This window comes from Homo sapiens, chromosome 4 (genome assembly GCF_000001405.40).
Source record: "Homo sapiens chromosome 4, GRCh38.p14 Primary Assembly".
Lineage (NCBI taxonomy): Eukaryota > Metazoa > Chordata > Mammalia > Primates > Hominidae > Homo > Homo sapiens.
In genome coordinates, this window is record NC_000004.12 from 56,160,940 (window position 1) to 56,178,091 (window position 17,152).

Consider the following 17,152-nt stretch of genomic DNA (forward strand, 5'->3'; position numbering starts at 1 on the left):
CAATGCAGGAGGAAGATGCAGAAGAAGATAAAGCATTCCACACAAAGGTTTTATCTGGGCGTTCTGGATGTAGTAAGAAAACTACAGAAATATTCCTCATCCTAAATAAGATTTGTAGTTTTAAAAAAACTCATTAATGTCTTTAAAGAAAGTAATTAACTGAAAAGTGTTCATTATTCTTGGTAATGGTAATAACTAGTTCTCGGTCTATGGATTTGTAGGGGTAACTCAGCGAGATGTTTGTTTTTATAGGAAGATCACTTAATGAAAGTGATTCTATCAGAAAGGACTAAAATAATATTTTGCTTTTGCATAAATTTACATGTTTAGGCAATGTGTAAAATTAGGAGGGCCTGTGGAAAGAAAGAACTGTTTCATTCTGGTGTTTGAGGTTAAGGAAAAAAAAAGCAACCCAGATTGATGTAATTTGGAGCTTGAGAATGATTTTTTTTACACATGCCCACCAGACTATTCACATTACTAGCAAATGAAATCTCTTCATTTTTAAACTCTTAATTTTTTTTTTCCCTGAGATGGAGTCTCACTATGTCACCCAGGCTGGAGTGCAGTGGCACAATTTCAGCTCACTGTAGCCTCCGCCTCCTGGGCTCAAGCGATTCTGCTGCCTCAGCCTCCCAAGTAGCTGGAATTAAAGGCACCTGCCACAACTACCCTACACTCTGCTGATTTTTATGTTTTTAGTGAAGATAGAGTTTCACCATGTTGGCCAGGTTGGTCTCGAACTCCTGACCTCAGATGATCCACCTGCCTCAGCCTCCCAAAGTGCTGGGATTACAGGCATGAGCCACTGCACCTAGCCAAAGAGCATTTTTTTTTTTTTTGAGATGGAGTCTCGCTCTGTTGCGCAGGCTGGAGTGCAGTGGCATGATCTCGGCTCACTGCAACCTCTGCCTCCTGGGTTTAAGTGATTCTCCTGTCTCAGCCTCCCGATTAGCTGGGATTACAGGTGCATGCCACCATACCCAGCTAATTTTTGTATTTTTAGTAGAAATGGGGTTTCACCTCGTTGGCCAGGCTGGTCACGAACTCCTGACCTCAAGTGATCTGCCCGCCTCGGCCTCCCAAAGTGAATTGTGCTTTGGCACCATTCCGCTTGCACATTCTTTTAGCTAATGTTAACCACAGCCTAACCAGGGCAGGTGAGACTACAAGCACCACTTTGTTGAAAAGCACAATTTTGGATCAGAGATGGGTAGATTTTTATTATTAGGCTCGAATTTTTATTTTTAAAAATTATTATTATTTTTTTTTAGAAACAGGGTCTCACTTTGTTGCCCAGGCTGGAGTGCAGGGGTACAATCATAGCTCACTGTAACCTCTAACTCCTGGGCTCAAGGGATTCTCCCGCCTCACCCTCCCAAGTAGCTAGGACTATAGATGTGCACCACCATGCCCCTGCTAATTCTTGTGGTTTTTTTGTTTTTGTTTTAAGAAATAGGGGTCTGGCTATGTTGTCCAGGCTGGTCTTGAACTCTTGGTCTCAAGATCCTCCCACCTTGGCCTGCCAAAGCACTGGGATTATAAGCATGAGCCACCATGCCTAGCTGGGCTTGAATTTTTAAATTGCATCATTTGGATTTAACCTTCACAATTCTTTCTTTTTCATAATATCCTTTGAAACAAGTAAGTAGTTAAGAGCCAAGGCTAATACAGATAAATCCTTAACTTGGAGCCCACCTGGTACAACTTCACTTTCCATTATAGGACATAATTACTGAAGCCTGCCTTGTCCAAGGTTTTGTACTGTGCTTTTCACAGTGGGGGACAGCAGAGATGAGGCATTCAACATCCCACCTGTCAAGGAGTTCAAATTCTAGTAACAGTTTACAATTTAGAAATAATCAGGCAAAATGTTGTTTAATTTGTTGGTTGGGGTAGAGTGCTCTGCCTTAGGGATTGGCAAACTTCTTCTGTAAAGGGCCAGATGGTAAAGGTTTTAGGCTTTTGGGCCAAGTGGTCTCTGATACAAGTACTCAATTCTGCTGTTGCAGAGGAAAAGCAGTGTAGACATTACTTTAATGAATGGGCATGGCTGTCGTCAGTAAAATCTTGTTTGCAAAAACAGACTGTGGGCTACATGTGACCAATGGGCTGTAATTTGCCAACTCTGCTCTGGGGCATGGCCTCTTCACCCTCCACGCTATTCTGAGACCTCTTTCAGCCTTAGGAGATGCCTCATGAGCATCTTCTCTGTGCCAGGTAGATGAGGAAAATGAGTCTCTGCCTTCGAGACGTTCCAAGGAGAGAAAAAGATAGAGTAAGACATTTAACCTCTGACAATGACTCAATTTTAAAGCTATAAATATTCAGCCTGGGCAACAGTGAGTCCCGTCTTCAAAAAAAAAAGCTAAAAATATTGATACATAATATTTTTCCTCATACAGCACAGATGTGCAGATTGATGAGATGGTTTGTGTAAAATATTTTGATTTACTCAGCTGAATATCATTTGTAATGTGAAATTGATGCTTGTCCTTTAACAATCTCAAAGGAAATGAGTAAATAAACCAATCTATCCTTTGTTCATATAGAGTCCCCTTATGTTAAAAAAAGTAACAATTTTTATCTAGTTTGATTGCTTCATTTTATTTTTATGAAGCACTTTAAAAATTTTTGTTTTATGACATTTTCTAATGGGACCAAATTGCTTTTAAAATTTTATTTCTTAATACAATGAGAAAAAATATCTGTATAATTCAGGAACACTGTGGTATGCACTCAGCAAGTTACAAATCCACGATATCTTCCTGTTATTTTGATTTTCTGAGTTATGCAAGTTCTTTGTGTGTATCTTTTTTTTTTTGAGACAGAGTCTCACTCTGTCTCCCAAACTGCAGTGCCATGGCACAGTCTCAGCTTACTGCAACCTCTGCCTCCTGGGTTCAAATGATTCTCATGCCTCAGCTTCCAGAGTAGCTGAGATTACAGGCCCATGCCACCATGCCCAGATAATTTTTTTGTATTTTTAGTAGAGACGGGGTTTCACCATGTTGCCCAGGCTGGTCTGGAGCTCCTGGCCTCAAGTGATCTGCCACCTCAGCCTCCCAAAGTGCTGGGATTACAGGTGTGAGCCAGTGCCTGACCTTTGTATCTAATGGGCATTCTGACACTTGTAGAGCTTCTGTAAAAATAGACGGGAAGTTTCAGACATATACTTTTGCTGGTACAGGAGATAATTTTTTTTTTTTTTTTGAGACGGAGTCTTGCTCTGTCGCCCAGGCTGGAGTGCAGTGGCGCAATTTCGGCTCACTGCAAGCTCCACCTCCCAGGTTCACGCCATTGTCCTGCCTCAGCCTCCCCAGTAGCTGGGACTACAGGGGCCCGCCACCAAGCCCAGCTAATTTGTTGTATTTTTAGTAGAGATGAGGTTTCACCGTGTTAGCCAGGATGGTCTCAATCTCCTGACCTCGTGATCCACCTGCCTCGGCCTCCCAAAGTGCTGGGATTACAGGCGTGAGCCACCGCACCTGGCCCAGGAGATAATTTTTTAATTGCTCAAAAAACTATATATTCAGAAATAAAAGTGAGCTACTGATACGTGCAACAACATGGAAGAATCTCCATAGCATTAGGCGGAGTGCAAGAAGCTGGGCACAAAAGGGAGCCATACTGTATGATTTCATGTATATGACATTTGGGAGAGAGCAAAACTATAGGGACAGAAATCAGATCAGTGGGTACCAGAGGTTGGGGACGGAGGATGGGATCGACTACAGAAGGAGTCTGAGGGAACTTTTTGGAGTGGTGGAAATGTTTTATACCTTGATTGCAGTGTGGTGACATTATTGTGCATGTATGTGAGCTGTATACATAAGAAGGGTGGTAAGTTATACCTCAGTAAGCCTGATCAAAACTGTTATAGAGTTTCTCAGGCAAAGATAAATGGAGAATCGACCTAAAAGGTTCTAATAAATTGCTCTTCAGGTTAAATTCTGAATGCAATTTGGTTCAGAGTCCTCCATTTGTTTCCTTTCAAAGACAGACCTAGTGAGAACATCTGGGCAGGACTGATCTCTGAAATCAAGTGGGAGGAAAGAGAAACAACTTGGGCAGTTGGAATGTCCTGACCCAGATGGCAGTTTCTGGCCATTCTTTGCAGATTCCAGAGCAGCTCTTGTTTCACTGTGTTAAGGAAGTTCAGGTGAATTTTATCACTTTCTGCCATCGTCAGTCTGACCTACCCGCATCTTTACCTCCAACTGCCTGGGAAAATGAAAGGTGCAGACTGCAGGCACTTTAGCAGACACATTACTGCCTTCAGTGATGTTTCTCAGCCTAGTGGTTTAAAGAACATCCACTGAGAGTCTGTTCTCAGCTGGGCACTGACGTAGCAGCAACAGACAGAAATCCCTGCTCCTCTGGAGCTCACATCTACAGGATGGCTAACAGCTCTCATTTATTAAGTGCTTACTGTGTGCCAGGTGCTATGTGTACTGACTCATTCAATCCAGGAAACCATTGATTATTAATAATGATTATCACCATTGCCATTTAAAGGTGAGGAAGCTGAAGCACTAAGATTTAAGTAACTTACCCAGGGACACACAGTTAGTATGCAGCAGATTACTGCTAAGTCCATGCTTTTAGCTACATTGGCTCTCTGAGCAGTGTGCCAGTCAGCCAAAAGGTTATACCTTTAAGAGACCCAGAATCTCAGTACTTCATGCATTAGGGAATAACTTTAAGGTTAAATAAAGCTATCCTATTTATGTAGAAAGAGTTACCTCATGAGAAAAAAGTCAAATAACATTAATAATTTACCAAGAAAGAAATGCTACTCAACATACATACAGAAAAATGTTTACCTTACAAAGAAATTAAAAAATAATATTTTGCTTATTAAATTAGCAAGCAAAGAGTTCAAATGGAGAGAGCAAAAACTAATTCATTGCTAGTGGAAATTGAATTTGTTTTGTAAGACACAGGGTCTCAATCTGTTGCCCAGCCTGCAGTGTAGTAGCACAATTATAGCTTACTGTAGCCTGGAACTCTTGGGCTTAAGCAGTCGTCATTTCTCAACCTCCAGAGTAGATAGGATTATAGGCACACAACACTACACCTAACTAATAAAAAAATGTTTTTTTGTAGAGATGGGTTTTTTTCTATGTTTCCCAGGCTGGTCTTGAACTCCCAGCCTCAAGCGATCCTCCCTTCTTAGCCTCCCAGATTACAGGTGTGAGCCACTGTACCCAGCTGGAAATATAAATTAATATAGTTTGGAAGGCAGTTTGCATTCTGAGCCTTAACCATATTTATTTCTTTTAACCCAATTTTTTCACTTATATGATTTTATCTTTTGGAAGTAGTCCAAAATATGGAAAAAGTTATGTGCAGCAAAGATATTTGTTGCAGTGCTATTTTAAAAAATGAATACAATGGGAAGATCCTAAGTGTCCAACAACAGATGAACAGATAAGTAAATTAAGAAATACTCATTTGGCTGGGTATGGTGGCTTAAACCTGTAATTCCAGCATTTTGGGATGCTGAGGTGGGTGGATCACCTGAGGTCAGGAGTTCAAGACCAGCCTGCCCAACATGGTGAAACCCCGTCTCTACTAAAAATACAAAATTAGCTGGGTGTGGTGGTGCATGCCTATAATCCCAGCAACTCGGGAGGCTGAGACAGGAGAATCGCTTAAACCTAGGAAGCGGAGGTTGCAGTGAGCCACACCACTGCACTCTAGCCTGGGTGAGACAGAGAGACACTCTGTCTCAAAAAAAAAAAAAAAAACCATTTAATGGAGTATTACACAGGCAATTGCAATGATAGTAGCAGCAAGGACAATTTAGTAGCATGGAAAAATACAAAACATTAGCTGTAAAAATTTTTTTTAAAGGAAGAATGCAACATTGCATGTAAAATATAATGAAAACTTTTTAAGGCAGAGAAAAGGGCCTTCAGCTACAGTTTTCAAACTTCATCTGTGAATCTTCCAATACTAAATAAAGCACCATACTCAGAAATTCTGACTTAATAAGTATGGGACAGTGCTCTGAAATCTGCTCATCTGACAGGCACCTGAGGTGATTCTGGTGTGAATGTCCATCCATCAGACTCTAAGAACACTGTCTTGAAAAAACTACACTGACAAAGTTTTAGTGGGATTGTGGGTAATATTTTTCACTTCTTGATTTTTCTTTTGTGATTATTTACTACTTTTATAATGAGAAAAGGAAATTTTAAGTTTACCTTTATTATACAATTTATGAAATTATCAATAGATTTATAAGTTATTTCATTTTTTTCAAAAAAGCTGTGTTATATCTGTAGAACTATTAAAAAGCACGTGACAGATCCACATTGTACTGATATGCAACAGATCTCCAAGTTATTTTAAGAGAAAACAGAAATGTGTAGGACAATGTGTATCTAACTTATTAAACTGGATATTGCCAAATTATAATTGTATATATGTATGGGCTATAAAGTGGTGCTATGATATATGTATACAATGTGGCATGATTGAATCAAGCTAATTAACATATCATCATCTCAAATACCATTTATTCTTCCTGTCTAACTGAAACTTTGTACCCTTTGACCAGCATCTGCCTGTTAGCTCCCCTCCCCAGCTTCTGGTAACCACCATTCTGCTCTCTGCTTCTATGATTTGGATCATGTTAGATTCCACATATAAGCAATAATACGTGGTATTTGTCTTTCTGTGCCTAGCTTATTTCATTTAACATAAGGTCCTCTAATTTCATTCAAGTTGTCGCAAATGATAGGATTTCCCTCTTTTCAAAGTCTGAATAGACTATTCACAAAACCAATATGTGGAAACAACCTAAATATTCACCAACAGATGAATGGACTTAAAAAATGTGACATATGTATACACAGTAATATTATTCAGCCTTAAAAGAGAAGGAAATCCTGCAATATGCAACATGGATGAACCTTGAGGAAATTATGCTAAATGAAATAAGTCAGTTAATTTTATTTATTGACCTAGTATCCTAAAACCCTGGGAAACTCACATATTACTTCTGGTTACCTTTGATAGATTCCTCAGGATTTTCTACATAGATTATCATGTTGTCTGTGTATAAAGATGGTTTTACTTCTTCCTTTCCAATCTGTATCACTTTTATTTCTCTTTCTTGTCTGTTTCACTGACTATGACCTCTACTACAATGTTAAAGAGAAGTAGAGAGTATAGACAATTTTGCCATGTTGCCAATCTTGGGAGGAGATCATTCAGCCTTTTATCAAGTAGGATGTTAGCTGTAAGTTTTTCATAGATGCTCTTTATCAGGGTGAGGAAACTGTCTTGTATTCCCAGTTTTTAAATCATTTTTATTAGAAAAGGATGTTGTTTTTTGTTAAATGTTTTTTCTGAAACTCTTTAAGATTTTTCTTCTTTTTGTCTGTTAATATTGTAAATTACACTGATTGTGAACCGACCTTGCATTCCTGGGATAAGCATCACTTGGACATAATATATTATCCTTTTACCATATTGCAGAATTCAAATTACCAATTTTTAACTTAATGCTTGCATTTATGTCCATAAGGAATATTGCTCTCTAGCTTTCTTACCATGTATTTGTTTTTGGTATTAGGATTATGCTGGTCTCATAAAATGAGTCTCATTGAAAAAAATAAGAATAAAGGCTTAACAGTATTCACATATATATGTCATTTTATTTATCTTTTTGTCCACTGATGGATATATATAATATTATCTGCATATTCAACTATATATATAATTATATATAACTATGTAACTACATATATAATATAAATTTATATATATAAAACTATAGTTGTATATGCAAAGGATCCCTAGAAAGACACAAAGACACAAAGAAATTGGAACCATTCATTCCTTTCCTACCTTTAGGTCAAGGGGATTCAGGAATGCAGAAAGATTTTCCCCCATCATACTACTGCTGTGATACTATGGATGAGTAGGTGAATGGGCATGAGAGCTAGCCTGAGAACCTAATGACCGTTTATCACATGGCTTCCATAGAAAAACGTCATCAGTAGTTCAGCAACAAACTTCACAAGCCAATATATTAAACAAGTCAAATTATTTAAGGTTACAGACTACCTTTGTTGATGGGGCTCACTACAAAGGCATTCCTGAAGTGGGTAAGATTCATTAGGGGCTGAGGTGTGGAGGGATCAGTGGAAATCTGTTCCCACTGCCAGAGAACAAACAAATAGGGAGTAAGTTGTTTCTTCGTAGCTAAATCAGGAAGAATCTCTACTATATTCTGAAATCCCAACAAAGGAGCCTAGGGATGAGCTGATTTAGAGGAAATGAAAATATGAGAATGGAAATTCAAGACAGTTCCATATGGAAGGCCATATGGTTACAGTTTTGGGAACAAGCATCATATCTAAAGTATAAATAATTTTTATCATCTAATCAGGAGCTTTGAGTTTCTAGCATTAGCTCAGGGAATAGTACTCTCAAAAGGAAAGGCTCCTTGGTGGTCCGTTTACCTCCCATGCCCAGAGAACAGGTTCATGAACCCTTGCCAGGCCTATCTTTTCATGCCTGAACTTTAGAGTTTCCTTTAAGTGTATTGGTTTTGTTTTGAGACAGGATCTGGCTCTGTCACCCAGGCTGGAGTGCAGTGGTGCTATCTTCGCTGATGGCACCTCTACCTCCTAGGCTCAAGCAATCTTCCCACCGCAGCCTCCCAAGTAGCTGGGACTACAGGTGCACACCACCACACCCAGCTAATTTTTGTATTTTTTTGTAGAGACGGGGTTTTGCCATGTTGCTCAGGCTCGTCTCGAACTCCTGAGCTCAAGCCATTCACCTGCCTTGGCGTCCCAAAGTGCTGAGATTACAGGCACCACGACTGGCCCGTTAAGAGTATTGTTAATCTTTAACCATTTGTTCTGCAGCCAAGTATCAGGGAGATGAGTTTGTTTCCTAAGATGTGCTTGTGAACAGTTGCCTTTGAGAAGTTGAAAATAAAGAAGCAGATCAGTTTACTCATATGTAATTCAAACAACCAGCAGGGGTATTTATCTGGTGAGCTACTTTACTGAAAAGAATTGAATGAGTTCAGTTTATGATACTTAGGTTCTGTTTGTACTTTCACTGAGTAGCAGAACAACAACAACAACAACAACAACCACAACAAAAAACCCTCCTTTTTCCTTCCTCCTCTTCCTCCTCCATCCCCTGTAATGGAATAACATTCGAATGCCGACATCACAAACACAGAGGACCCTTCACTTCTTGGCTTGCCACTCCCTGCCTGTCACATGCCTTCTGGTTTGACTGGAGTAATCCTGGTAGAATCCACGTAGCTCTGAAGAGTGGGTATTCTGAAGAGCGCAGGTTCTTTGAGGGGATGATACATGTTCAGTTGCTCTGTTGGGAGTGGGAACCATGAATCACAGTGGTAGTGGCAATGTTAAGTGGAAGGTCCAGGGAAAAACCAAGAGTTCTCTGTGCTGCTCATTGAAAATAGGGAGGCTTAGAGATCTGGGTATCATTTTGGATACTTTTGGTATAGTCATTTTATATACTTTTGGTATTGGGTATAGCAAATCTTGGCTAGGTAAAGAGGGGCTGGATTTTGGGGGAACTTGAATGGCAGACTCAGACATTTATTCTGTGAATAGACTGGGCGCAGTGGTTTGCACCTGTAATCTCAGCACTTCAGGGAGGGAGAGAAAGGAGGGTTGCTTGAGGCCAGGAGTTTGAGACTAGCCTTGACAACATAGCAAGACCCTATCTCTACAAAAAATTAAAAATTAGCCAGGCATGGTGGTGTGTGCCTGTAGTAGTCCCAGCTTGAGGCTGAGGCGGGAGGATCGCTTGAGCCCAGGAGCTCGAGGTTACAGTGATCTGTGATTGTGCCACTGCACTCCAGACTGAGCAGCAGGATGAGACCCTATCTCTTAAAAAACTATTACATGAATAATGGGGAGTCATCATGTGTTTTGTAAATAGGGAGTAATTTAACACAAGGATAATTGGCTGAATTAATCTGGCAGTAATGTTTAGGGTTCAACAGAGGCAGACAAACTAAATAATAGGATGCTGCAGCAAGTCATGCATGAGTAGGTGGGATTCTGCATCATGGTGGTGACAGAAATAACAGATTAAAGGGACATTCAAAGAAAGAAACAAATAAGATTTTTAAAAAAACTAATCGGGCATGGAAAATGACAGAGAATGAAAAAGCAGAATGACAGAGATCGTCTTAGAAAGACCATGATCATTATATGACGAGTTAATGGGTGTAGCACACCAACACTGCACATGTATAAATATGTAACAAACCTGCACGTTGTGCACATTTACCCTAGAACTTAAAGTATAATAAAAAAAAAAAAAGAAAGACTATGGTCATTATAGCTGACGAGGAACAGATACTTACTGTGAATAGTTATCAGTGGAGGAGCAAAAGAGTATGTAAAAACAACCAGGAAGACACAGTATCGAAGAAACTAAAGGAACAGTTTCAAGTAGTGTTGTCCAGTTAGCAGCATCATAGATTAGGGGGGCTGTAGATCAGAGACTGGTGGGTGTCAAGACAAAAGCAAATTGAGCAACAGTTTTTATTTTGGGATTCACAGGTTATTGGTGACTTTGAAAAGTGCAATTTGAGTAGAATGATCAGATCAAGGTAAGGTGGGGGGTAAAGGAGTGAACAATGCTGAGATGGTGGAGATAACAAGTATGGACAATTTGCCACTGAAGTTTCACAACAAAAGGAGGATGATAAATAATAATGAATAGTGGTAAGCTTACAGACTATCAACATTGTAGCTTAGCTAAGAAATGTTCCCTGTGCAGACAAATAGTAGAAAATTATAAGATCTAGGGGCGGTGGTGGGGAATTTCAACCATATGCCTGCCTCCGTCCTGTGGGTAAGGCACCTGTGAATATGTTTCCATGTGCTCATGGTTTCAGATTTTCCACCTTTATAGCTCCAAACACACAGCTTTAAGGAGGTCTGTTGAACCTGCATGTTCCCAGAAGTTCTGTTGGGGAAGAGGCTGGGGAAGGCAGGAGATGGAGGAACAGAATTTCTGTACTCCTGCTGGTGCGTGGAGGTATCTTTTGAGGGTTTCTCTTTTTTTTTTTTTTTCAACTTTACAGTATAACTTTAAATCTAGCCAAGGCTGGAAATGGGTCTCCTGTCCCAAAGTTCAGATCATTCCTGCAGTATCCTTCTGTTAGTTGGGGAGTCGCAGAGGAATAAAAGGAAGATAGTATCACTATTTAGGTCCCACTGTCCACTAAAACCGCTTCTTTTGCCAATTGCTATTGAGAATGGGCTGAGAAGACACTGCTCAAAGTGACCACATTGTATTTGCCTGAAAAACTGAAGCCATCTTGATGGGAACCTAATTCTGCATGGAGGGAAACAGCAAGCAGCACAGTTACCGCTGCTGGGCAGAAATCTTCTGAGTAATTCAGCTGTATTTTCTCTGTTACAATCTGTTCTCAAGTGCCAGGTCACAGGCATCATGACTTGCAGAAGTGAACGAATCTTGGAGATGTGGTTCTAACACCCAACCTTTCTTTTTTTGAGACAGAGTTTCGCTCTTGTTGCCCAGGCTGCTGTGCAATGGCATGATCTCGGCTCACCGCAACCCCTGCCTCCCGGGTTCAAGCAACTCTCCTGCCTCAGCCTCCTGAGTAGCTGGGATTACAGGCATGTGCCACCACGCCCAGCTAATTTTTTTTTTTTTGAGACAGCATCTTGCTCTGTCACCAGGCTGGAGTGCAGTGGCGTGATCTCGGCTCACTGCAACGTCCACCTCCTGGGTTCAAGCGATTCTCTTGCCTCAGCCTCCTGAGCAGCTGGGACTACAGTTGCGTGCCACCATGCCCAGCTAATTTTTGTATTTTTAGTAGAGACGGGTTTTCACCATGTTGGCCAGGATGGTCTCGATCTCCTGACCTCATGATCTGCCCACCTCAGCCTCCCAAAGTGCTGGATTACGGGCATGAGCCACTGTGCCTGGCCTAATTTTGTATTTTTAGTAGAGACGAGGTTTCTCCATGTTGGTCAGGCTGGTCTCGAACTCTCAACCTCAGGTGATCCGCCCGCCTCGGCCTCCCAAAGTGTTGGGATTACAGGCGTGAGCCACCGCACCCGGCCAACACCCAGCCTTTCTGACTGTTAGACTGAAAATTTGAAATGCAGGCAACTTTCTCTTAGCACTTGTTTTTTAGGGTGACCCCACAGATCGCAGGAGCTGTGAAACATCCTGTACACAACTGTAGCAAATGGAAAAAGTCAAAGAAGTTTACCTTTGACTATACATGCTCTGAGTTCACTGAGGATCGCATTGCTCTTCCTTCTCCTTCAAAACATGCATTGCCTCATTCTTGCTGATTTTGTTCCTGTATTTGAAAAAGTGCCCAGATACATTCATTCTTGAATTACAAATTGTTAACATTTCAGGTGTTCTGTAAAGTTATCCCTGAGGATATGAGAAAGGAAATTAATAGAGATGGGTGTTGAACTCCAAATATGAGTGTTCAACAGAACAAGTTGTAAATTGCTTTCTCATCAGCAAATGGGTTTCCATGAAGCTACTTCATTTTAGATGACACCTCGCTATATTAAATATGTTTAGAGCTTCATCAGGCCTATTTTGTCTAAATGAGAAGAAACTGAAGAAAGGAAAACCAGATTTCAGACTTGAAACCATACATAGACATACAGTCAAAGCTCATTATTTATGGATTCCATATTTGTCAATTTGCCCACTTGTTAAAATTTATTTGTAATAATTGGTAAAAATTTATTTGCTTTCACTTCTTTTGCATATATGCCCAGAAGTGGAATTGCTAGATAATGTGGTCATTTTATTTTAAATGTTTTTAGAGACACCATACTGTTTTTTTGTGTCCACTGTACGTTTTACATTCCTACCAACAGGGTACAAGAAGGGCTTCAATTTTTCTGCATCCTCACCAACACTTGTTATTTTCTGTATCTTTGATAATGGCCATCCTAGTAGGTGTGAGGTGGTATCTCATCGTACTTTTGATTTGTATTTCCCTAATGGTTGAGCAACTTGTCATGCACTAATTTGGAATTGATGTATCTTCTTTGGAGAAATATTTATGCAAATCCTTTGTCCATTAAATAAATTGGGTTGTTTGTTACTGAGTTGTAGGAGTCACACTAGAATGGTTCAAACTAAAATCTGGCAACACCATTTTTTTAAATACATGCTTCTTTTTTTGATTTTTAAATTTTTAATGGATACATAATAGTTGTACATATTTATGGGGTACATGGGATATTTTGATACAAGCATATAATGTGTAATGATCAAATCAGGGTAACTGGCACATCCATCACCTCAGACCTTTATCAGTTCTTTGTGTTGGGAGCATTTCAAATCCTGTCCTCCAGCTATTTTGATATATACAATAAATATTGTTAACTAAGTTGCCCTATTATGCTACTGAACACTTATTCTATCTAACTGTATTTTTGTACCCATTAATCAACTCCTCGTCATCCCCCTCTCCCTGCTTCCCTTCTTAGCCTCTGGTAACTATCATTCTACTCTGTAGGAACATGAGATCAATTTTTTAAATCCCACATGTAAGTGAGAATGTGATATTTGCCTCTCTGTTTCTGGCATATTTCACTTAACCTAATGTCTAGTTCCATCCATGTTGCTGCAAATGACAGGATTTCATTTTTTATGGCTAAATAATATTCCATTGTGTGTATATATAACACATATTCTTTATGCATTCATCTGTTGATGGACACTTAGGTTAATGCTGTATCTTGGCTATTGTGTGAATAGTGCTTCAATAAACATGGGAGTACAGTGTATTAGTCTGTTTTCACACTGATATAAAGAACTACCTGAGACTAGGTAATTTATGAAGAAAAGAGGTTTAATAGACTCACAGTTTCACAGGCTTAACAGGAAGCATGATTGGGAGGCCTCAAAAAATTTACAATCATGACAGAAGGTGAAGGGGAAGCAAGGCATGTGTTACATGGTGGCAAGAGAGAAAGAGTGAGGCGGGAAAGTGCCACACTTTTAAACTATCAGATCTTGTGAGAATTCACTCACTATCACGAGAACAGCATGGGGGAAATCCATCCCCATGATCCAGTCACCTCTCACCAGGCCCCTCCCCTGACAGGTGGGGATTACAATTTAACATGAGATTTGGGTGGGGACACAGAGCCAAACCATAACATACAGATATCTGTTTGATACACTGATGTTCTTTTGGATATATTAACATATGCAGCAGTGAGATTGCTGGATCATATGGTAGTTCTCTTCTTAGTTTTTTGAGGAACCTCCATACTGTTGTCCATAGTGGTTGTACTAATTTACATTCCCACCAACAGTGTACAAACATTCTCCTTTCTCTGCATCCTTGCCAGCATATGTTACTTCCTATCTTTTTGTTAATAGCAATTTTAACTGGTGTGAGATAATATCTTATTGTGGTTTTTGATTTGCATTTCCCTAATGATTAATATACCTACTTGCCACTTGGATGTCTTTTGCCATTTTAATTCAGTTTTTTTAGCAGAAGTTCTGTTTTTTAATTTTTTAAAATTTTTTAAATTTTTGTGGGTATGTAGTTATGAATTACATGAGATATTTTGCTTCAGGCATGCAATACATAATAATCACATCAGGGTACACACACAGGGTATCCTCTTTTGCCATTTTTAAATCAAATTATTTGTTTTTAGCTGTTGAGTTGTTAGAGTTCTTTATATATTCTGGTTATTAATCCCTCGTCAGATGGATAGTTTGCAAATGTTTTCTCACATTCTGTTGGTTTTCTCTTCGTTTGTTGTTTTCCTCGCTATGCAGAAGCTTTTTAGCTCAATGTAATCCCAATTGTTAATTTTTGCTTTGGTTGCCTGTGCCTTTGAGGTCTTACTCAATAACTTTGTCCAGGCCAATGTCCTGAAGCATTTCCCCAGTGTTTTCTTGTAGTAGTTTCATAGATTCAGGTCTTACATTTAATCTTTAATTCATTTTTATTTAATGTTTGTATATGGTGAGATATAGAGGTCTGGTTTTAGTCTGTATATGGATATCCAGTGTTCCCAGCATCATTTATTGAAGAGACTGTTTTCTCCCCAGTGTGTGTTCTTGGTGCCTTTGTTGAAAATTATTTTGGTTATAAAAGTGTGAATTCATTTCTGGGTTGTCTATTCTGTTCCATTGGTCTATGTGTCCATTTTTAAACCAGTACCATGCTGTTTTAGATATTATAGCTTTGTAGTATATTTTGAAATAAGGTAGTGTGATGACTCCAGCTTTGTTCCTTTTGCTTAGTTTTCTTTAGCTATTCAGGGTCTTTTGTGGTTCCATGCGAATTTTAGCATTGCATTTTCTATTTCTCTGAAGAATGTCATTGGCATTTTGATAGGGATTCCATTGAATCTATAGATCACGTTAAGTAGTATGGGCATTTAACAATATTAATTCTTTCAAACTATGAGCATGGAATATCCTTCCAATTTCTTTTTTTTTTTTTTTGAGATGGAGACTTGCTCTGTCGTCCAGACTGGAGTGCAGTGGTGCAATCTCTGCTGACTGCAAGCTCCACCTCCCAGGTTCACACCATTCTCCCGCCTCAGCCTCCCGAGTAGCTGGGACTACAGGCACCCACTACCACGCCCGGCTAATTTTTTTGTTTTTGTATTTTTGGTAGAGATGGGGTTTCACTGTGTTAGCCAGGATGGTCTCGATCTCCTGACCTTGTGATCCACCTGCCTTGGCCTCCCAAAGTGCTGGTATTACAGGCATGAGCCACCAAGCCTGGAGCAATTTCTTTCATTGGTGTTTTATAGTTTTCATTGTAGAGATCTTTTAATTCTTTGGTTAAATTTATTCCTAGGTATTCTTTTTGTAGGTTTTGTAAATGAGATTACTTTCTAGATTTCTTTTCCAGATTGTTAACTGTTGGCATATAGAAATACTACTGATTTTTGTATGTTAATTTTGTATTCTGCAACCTTACTGAATTTATCAGTTCTAACAGTTTTTTTTAGAGCCTTTAGATTTTTCTAAATGTAAGATAATGTCATCTGCAAACAAGTACAATTTGACTTCTTTCTTTGCAATTTGGACGCCCTTTATTTCCTTTTCTTGTCTAATTGCTCTATCTAGGACTTCCAGTACTATGTTGAATAAAAGTGGTGAAACTGGGCATCCCTGTCTTGTTCTAGAGCTTAGAAGAAAGGCTTTCAATTTCCCCTGTTCAGTGTGATGCTGTCTTTTGGTTTGGTTTTGTCATACACGGACTTTATTGTCTTGAGGTATGTTCCTTTTATACCCAGTTTCTTGAGGATTTTTATCATAAAGCAATGTTGAATTTCATTGAATGCTTTTTAGGAGGCATCTATTGAAATCATCATATAGTTTTTGTCTTTTATTCTGTTAATGTGATGTGTTGATTTGTGTATGTTGAACCATTTTTGCATTCCTGGGGTGAATCCCACCTGATCATGGTAAATGATCATTTCAATGGGATGTTGACTGTGGTTTGATGGTATTTTGTTGAGGATTTTTGCATCTTTTTTATGTCTTTGGTTTTGGTATGAGGGTAATGATGCCCTTGTAAAATAAGTGTGGAAGTATTCCCTTCTTTCCAATTTGTTGCAACAGTTTGAGTAGAATTGGTATTAGTTTTTCTTTAAATGCTTGGTAGAATTCAGCAGTGAAGCCATCAGGTTCTGGGCTTTCCCTAATGAGAGACTTTTTATTGCTACTTCAATCTTATTACTTTTTATTTGTCTGTTCAGATTCTCTATTTGTTCAATCTTGGTAGGTTGCATGGATGTAGGAGAGTAACCATTTCATCTAGGTTTTCTAATTTATTGTTGTACAATTGTTCATAATAGTCTCTAATGAGCCTTTTTATTTCCATGGTACCTGTTGTAATGCCTTCTTTTCTGTCTCTGATTTTATTTATTTGAGTCTTCTCTCCTTGTTTCTTAGCTTAGGTAAAGATTTGTCAAATTTTTTTATCTTTTAAAAAAGCCAACTTTTTATTTTGTTAATCTTTGGTGGTTTATTGTCTCAATGTTATTTGTTTATGCTCTAATCTTTATTATTTCTCTCCATCTACTAATTTTGGGTTTGGTTTTTTCTTGCTTTTCTAGTTCTGTAAGGTGCCAAT

The 17,152-nt window shown here is 39.1% G+C and overlaps 1 protein-coding gene across 6 annotated transcripts in view; it reads left to right on the plus strand.

Annotated features, from left to right (window-relative positions):
• The window catches only part of CRACD (capping protein inhibiting regulator of actin dynamics), a 281,512-nt gene that overhangs the window by 111,842 nt on the left and 152,518 nt on the right, over positions 1-17,152 (plus strand). Inside the window, exon 1 of one of the 6 annotated variants that reach the window (NM_020722.2) lies at positions 9,256-9,311. The exons of the other annotated variants lie outside the window; for them this stretch is intronic. The gene's annotated coding sequence lies outside the window, so the exon portion shown is untranslated. Of the gene's footprint in view, positions 1-9,255; positions 9,312-17,152 lie in introns of those variants that run through there. 6 annotated transcript variants of the gene reach the window in all.